Source organism: Homo sapiens, chromosome 9 (genome assembly GCF_000001405.40).
Source record: "Homo sapiens chromosome 9, GRCh38.p14 Primary Assembly".
Lineage (NCBI taxonomy): Eukaryota > Metazoa > Chordata > Mammalia > Primates > Hominidae > Homo > Homo sapiens.
The window spans coordinates 21352337-21359752 of record NC_000009.12 but is presented as its reverse complement, the minus strand read 5'-3'; the positions used below and the strand labels follow the sequence as shown (position 1 = coordinate 21359752).

At 37.2% G+C, this 7416-nt stretch overlaps 1 annotated feature.

Moving 5' to 3' along the window:
• Window positions 1969-2068: an enhancer, noted in NCBI's record as "active region_28239". NCBI's record gives its function as "activates an Ori minimal core promoter by ATAC-STARR-seq in GM12878 lymphoblastoid cells {active_cell/tissue: GM12878}" and the evidence as "EXISTENCE:reporter gene assay evidence [ECO:0000049][PMID:35858748]".

Below are 7416 nucleotides of genomic sequence, written 5' to 3'. Positions count from 1 at the left end.
TAGGCTGCTTAGATGCTATACAGTTTAGATGTTTGGTGGGGACATCTTACATCTCTATAGTTTACATGTTTGATGGGGAGGCTGACCTGTGAGTCCTGAAGGAGCAAAAAATCAGAGCATGTACTGCTGGGCTGTCCTGGAAATTGTTCATTGCTTTTTCTTTATTCTTAATACATAAAAAAACTCAAGAGTAAAAAAATAAATTGGCTTCCAGGAGTTTGTAGTTGATGGGTTAATAGAGTTGTTTTAGTATATTTTTGAATACATCACTAATTATTTTTTCACTTGATGATGGCTCATGCCTGTAATCTCAGCACTTTGGGAGGCTGAGGCAGATCACTAGAGGCCAGAAGTTCGAGACCAGCCTGGCCAATATGGTGAAATCCTGTCTCTACTAAAAATACAAAAATTAGCTGGGCATGGTGGCAGGTGCCTGTGATCCCAGCTACTTAGGAGGCTGAGGTATGAGAATCGCTTGAACCCAGGCTGTGGAGGTTGCAGTGAGCCAAGATGTCGCCATTGCCTGAGCGACAGAGTGAGACTCTGTCTCAAAAAAGGAAAAAAAAAAAAAAGGAATATATTTAGTCTACTTTTCCTTAGAACTTAAAGGCAGTTAATTCAATTCACTTACACCACACCCCCTGTTGCTCTATACAGCACGAGCAAATGTTTGGCATTCAAAATGAATCTCAGAATCCTTTGTCATCTCACCCTCTCTGCTGTATTGATTTTATGCCCTGGTCTCTCCTTGGTTGATAAATTCATATCTATCCCCCCTTCCTTTAATGGGTCCTTCCAGTCAAGCCATTATAATGATTCTCCCTAAGGTTTCGACCTTGCATTATTGGTGTGGTCAGAATAGTTCATCCCTGCAGATTTATATTTCTCTCCCAATAGTTTTATAAAAGAGTATAATCCAAATAGTGTTATTGAGAGGACAGAGATAGTATTTTCAAAACATCATAAAACAGCCTGGCACAGTGGCTGATGCCTGTAATCCCAGCATATTAGGAGGCTGAGGCAGGAGGATTGCTTGAGCCCAGGAGGTCAAGACCAGTCTAGACAACATGGTGAAACCTGGTCTCTACAAAAAATTAGCCATATGTGGTCATGCCTGCTTGTGGTCCCAGTTACTCAGGAGGCTGAGGTAGAAGTATTGCTTGAGCCCAGGAGGTCAAGCTGCAGTAAGCAGGGATCACACCACTGCACTCCAGCCTGGGTGACAGAGTGACACCCAGTCTCAAAAAGGAAAATCTTAAAACAGTGGATGGTCCCTATTAGGCCTGCAATAAATGTTGGTGTTATCATTTTTGATATTATCATCCAGATTAAAATAGAATCTTTTGGGATCATCCAATTCTCTTCCATTAATTCCTGGTTTCTCAAGGCTATGTTTTCATTGCCTGAGTAAATTTATTAACTAGGTGGAGTCTTTAGGCAAGGCTAATATGCATTATCCTGCCAGACAACTTTGTTGGTTGTCTAGCGACTGCAGCCTGCTTACAGGCTTTTGGGAATTGATTGGTGTGACTTCTCCCTTCTGTCTAGAGCTGATCACATGTGAATTATATGAAAGAAAGTCAAGTAGCTGGTCTTGGAAAGCTGAATTCAGTCCATTGACCCAGGAATTGCTTTTCTTAGAACCTCTGGCAGATGCAGCCATTTTTCTGCCTTTGTGCACCTCAACATTGGCGTTATGTTTTCACTCTGCCAGAGGCTCTAGTCCTCAATTTTTGCTGCATTGAATTTTGCTAACTTACACTTTGCAATTAGTCAGGGGAAAGTCACTTCCCTTCTTTCACTTTCATGACAGTCAGAATGGCTTCTGTTTTCTTTCTGCCTACAAACAACTGTCAAGTACTACTTTCTAGAAAAGTTGAAACAAGAGACAAGAAAACCACAAAATCTGGAAATTATAAAGAAAACCACTGCGGCTCTTTTGCCTTTCTTTTATTTCCCTTTGTTTGTGTGACTTCATAGTGAATTAGAATGTAATGTGGTAGCAGCAAGACAAACTTTGCCCAGTAAACCACTACGTTAAAAAGGCGTTCTAAAAATTCATTTGTTGTTGAGGTTTAAATTTAAAATGAAGAATCACAAATCAATCAGTAAAGGAAAGATGGCTATGACTGTTTAACATGATAGCATGGGAGCTCACTGCCCTGCACGATCAAAGTTTCACATAGACAGAGGAGCAAAGAACTTTAACAGATCACGCTGAACTGGTGAACAACTGAGGGTCACCATTTTCTGTAATATGAGCCTCTGAAGAGAAACATTACCTTTGAGTCTTTTGTGCCTAGCTCAGAAATTTCAAGCATAAAACTGTTCCATAGTTTAAAAGAGTTGAAGATAGCAAAACAGTTGAAGAATAAAAGCTGTACTTGGCAAAGTTAAAATTATTTAACTACTAAAGATAAAATAATCACAATAGGATAATTCCTTTACCTACTTAGACAAAACAAACCTTTGCAATCAGCCTTCTAGGGGTGTTGAGACTTTTGGTACCTAGGATCTGGGTCAGGAGATGAGGGGGTCACCACTGGGAGCAAATACTCCTTCACACAAAACTCTAGGGGCAAGAGCAAGGGTCAGGGGCATTTATTATTTTGGCAACAAAGAAGCAAGGCCCTCCTTGGGAAAAGAGTTCCAAAATCATCAGGATTTGATGAGCCTACACTTACGGAATAACTTGATGTGATAAATACCTTGTGAGTGATGTGATACTAAGGAAATAACATTATTTTGATATTAAAATTTCCACACCCACATGCACCTGAAAAAAAATAATGAAATTCCTCTTAGGGGTATTGGTAAAGCCTGAGAAGTGCTATATTTCTCCAGTAACAAAATAATGGACTGGGTCGGGTAGCTCACACCTGTAATCCCAGCACTTTGGGAGGCTAGGCGGGCGGATCACTTGAGCTCAAGAGTTCCAGACCAGCTTGGCCAACATGGTGAAACCCCGTCTCTATTAAAACACACACACACACACACACACACACACACAAACACACACACACAAACACACACACACACACACACAAAATTAGCCAGGTGTGGTGGGGCATGTCTGTAATCCCAGCACTTGGAAGGCTGAGGCATGAGAATAGCTTGAACCCGAGAGGTAGAGGTTACAGTGAGCCGAGATTGTGCCACTGCACTCCAGCCTGGGTGACAGAGCAAGACTCTGTCTCCAAAAATAAAATAAATTAATGAAAGAAAGGGCCTTGACCATATTAATCGAATCTTGAGTGCCCAGGGAAGCACAACCACATGAACCTGAATGAATATATCCTAGAAGAAGAAAAGCACTAGAGAAGCTCATTCACTAATAAACTAATTCCATTAGTCTATATGTCTGTTTTTATTCAAGTGCCATGCTGCCTTAATTATTGTAGCATCATAATATGTTTCAAAATTAGGAAATATGAGACCTCTTGCTTTGTTTTTCTTTATCAAGATTGTTTCAGCAACCCAGAGACCATGACGTTTAGGATATATTTTTTCTATGTCTGTTAAAAATGCCTCTGTGATTTTGATAGAGATTGCATTGAATCTGTATAACACTTTGGAGAGCATGCAGATTTTAACAATATTAAGTCTTCCAACCCATGATGGATACAAGTAAATGTCTTCCCATTTATTTTTGTCATCTTTAATTTTTTCAGTAGTATTTGGTAGTTTCTAGTGTCCATGTCTTTCACATCCTAGGTTAAGTTTATTCCTAAATATTTTATGTTTTTTGATGCTATTGTAAATTAGAGTATTTTCTTAATTTCCTATTAAGATTATCCACTGTTAGTATATAGAAATGCCGCTGATTTTTGTTTATTGATTTTGTATACTGCAACTTTGCTCAATTCATTTATAAGTTATCTCTCTCTTTTCTCTCTGTCTCCCTCTCTCTCTCTCTCTCTCTCTCTCTCTGTGTGTGTGTGTGTGTGTGTGTGTGTGTGTGTGTGTAATCTTTAGGTTTTTCTACATATAAGAATATGTCATCTGCCAACAGAGATCATTTCACTTTTTCCTTTATAATTTGGATGCTTGTTATTTATTTTTGTTGCCTAAATACTCTGGCCAGGATTTGAAATACTAGTTGTAAGAGCACATTCTTGCCTTTTTCCTGAACTTAGAATAAAAACGTGTAATTTTTCACAGTTGAGCATGATGTTTACTGTGGGATTTTCATATAATAGCCCTTATCATGTTGAGTTAATGTCCTTCTAGTCCTAGTTTGTTGAGTGTTTTTTTTTTAATCATGAAAGGATATTGAATTTTATCAAATGGTTTTTCAGCATCAACTGAGGTGATCATGGTTTTTCCTCCCTTCATTCTGTTCATGTAGGTTACTACATTGATTTATTTCTGTGTTGAACCATTCTTATATTCCAGGAATAAATCACATGTAGCCATGTTATATAATCGTTTTAATGTGCTGTTAAATTTGGTTTGCAAGTATTATGCTGAAGGTTTTTGCATCAATATTCATCAGAGATATTGGTTTGTAGTAGTTTTCATATCATGTCCTTCACTGAATTTTATGTCAGGTTAATGCAAGATTCATAAATTAGTTTGGAAGTGTTCCCTCCTCTTCAATCTTATGGAATAGTTTGAGAAAGATCCTGTTAATTTTTTGAAGTTTTGATAGAATTCTCTAGTGAAGCCATCTGGCCCAGGGCTTTTCTTTTTTCAGGGATTTTTAATTATTTATTCAATCCCTTATAGGTCTATTGCAAATTTTTATTTCTTTATGATTCAGTCTTGGTAAGTTGTATGTTTCTAGGAATTCATCAATTTTTTTCTAGGTTATACAATTTGCTGAAGCATAATTTTCATAGTTTTATGACCTTTTATTTCTGTGGCATCAGCTGTAGTGTCTCCTCTTATATTCTTGATTTTGTTATATGAGTATACTCTTTTTTAAAAAATAATCTAGTAAGGGTTTGTTGATTTTGCTGTACTTTTCAAAACATCAACCCTAGTTTTAGTGATTTTTTTTATAATTGCTCTTCTATTCTCTATTTTATTTATCTTTGCTCCAGCTTTATTGTTTCCTTCCTTCTGCTAGATTAGGGGTTTATTTATTTATTTGCGCTTCTTTTTTTAGTTACTTAAGGTGTACAATAAGGTTGTTGTATTAGTCTGTTTTCATGCTCCTGATAAAGACATACTTGAGACTGGGAAATTTACAAAAGAAAGAGGTTTATTGGACTTACAGTTCCACATGGCTAGAGAGGCCTCACAAACATGGTGGAAGGCAAGGAGGAGCAAGTCACATCTTACATGGATGGCAGCAAGCAAAGAGAGAGATTGTGCAGAGAAACTCCCATTTTTAAAACTGTCAGATCCTATGAGACCTGTTCACTATCAGATCACATCTTGTGAGACCCATTTAAAACTATCAGATCTTGTGAGACCGATTCATCTATCAGATCAGATCTTGTGAGACTCATTTAAAACTATCAGATTTGGGAGACCCATTCACTATCATGAGAACAGCATGGGAAAGACCTGCCCCTATAATTTGATTATCTCCCACCAGGTCCCTCCCACAACATGTGGGAACTATGAGAGCTACAAGATGAGATTGGGGTGGGGACACAGAACAAAACTATATCAGTTGTTGATTTGAACTCTCTTCTTTATAAGCTTTTATGTCTGTAAATTTCTCACTTAGCCCTGCTTTCACTTCATTGTATAAGTTTTGGTATATTTGGTTTTTTAGTTTATTATTTTCTAATTTCTATTGTGTTCCTTCTTAAATTTTTCTCATTTAGACATACAAATGTTTTATTTCTGTCTCTGTGCATTGGGATGTGAAATCAGACGACTTTTACTTTCTAGGAAAGTGAAATGAGAAAGAAAGACACCTGGTGTTATGAGGACTATATAGAAACATTGTACATTTCAGTTGTTTTTGTCATATTTACATACTCTTATTGACATGAAATGAAGATGAAAATAAAACATGTCCAGGAGTGGCAAAACAAATTTGCATAGCAAAATATCACATGAAAAGGGAATATACATAAGTCCCCAGCACAATCCAGGTAAACAAATAAAAATGTTCCAGCAGGGCATGGTGGCTCAAGCCTGTAATCCCAGCACTTTGGGAGGCTGAGGCAGGCACACCACTTGAGTTCAGGAGTTCGAGACCAGCCTGGCCAACATGGTGAAACCTTGTCTCTACCAAAATTAGCCAGGTGTGGTGGCATACGCCTGTATTACCTACTTGAGAGGCTGAGTCATGAGAATTGCTTGAACTCAGGAGGCAGACATTGCTGTGAGCTGAGATCTTGCCACTGCACTCCAGCCTGAGAGACACAGCAAGAATCCATCTCAAAAAAAAAAAAAAAAAAAAGGTTCCTTTTCCAGTGTTTGATAGACTAAGAATAATAGCTTAAGCAGGACGGTCCTGCATTCAAAAGCTATGATGATTAGGTTAAACTCTAAAATCCAATAAAAATGTGTTGACTGGATTACCTTATAAAAGTTATTAATTTTTGCAAGATACATTTTTGGAAAGAAAGTTCATTTACTATGGAAATTCCTGTAGCCATTTCAGAACTCTGAGCATTTTAATGATATAAAGAGTCTAAGTTAATTAATGATATAAAGAGTTTAAGTAAATCACTAAAAATAATAAATACTAAAATGCATTTAGTTTATTTAAAAAACTGATCCTATCTCATCTCTATCCTCATATAGACATGTTGATTTTATACTGTTGTCATCTAAATATCATCAAATGATTTAAAGCCTAGATCTCTGGGTGATGGAAAAATGAAGTCCCAACAATTTATAGTTCACACACACATTCTGGGAAGTTGGCCTTATTAAACAACGGCAGGAAAGTTAGAAGATTGATGACTTGGGGATCACAGGGGTACTACCCACAAAATGTAGTGTAATTTGTTGTCTGATTGCTGTAAGCTGTGTGAATCAGGGAGAGTTTGAGTTTGGACATTTGGCTCGATATTATGACACCAGGCTGGTTAATTTATATTATAAAATGTAGAGGGCAATTTAGACATGAGGTCATAATATAGTTTAATATAGTGCTACGCAAAGGCTGAAAATTATGTTGTGCTTGCATTTGAATTCCCAGTGCCGTATATACCTTAAAGGAATTAGATATCCAGTGGGTTTGGCAATACATTCTATAATCATTATTGACACTTAGTAAGAGTAGAGTGGAAATATTAGCCATTGTCTGTTATAATCCTAACAAATATGGCCATGATGGAAACAAAATAGCTTGGTCACCCATGAATGCCTTCTAGTATAAAGAGAAAGTATGATAAATTGCTTCAGCAAAAACTATTTCTTGAATAAGTACACTAGGCCTGGTACTGAGGATAATGCAGTCAACAGAACAGAGTCCAGTTACTAAAGAGATGATTTGCCAAAGAT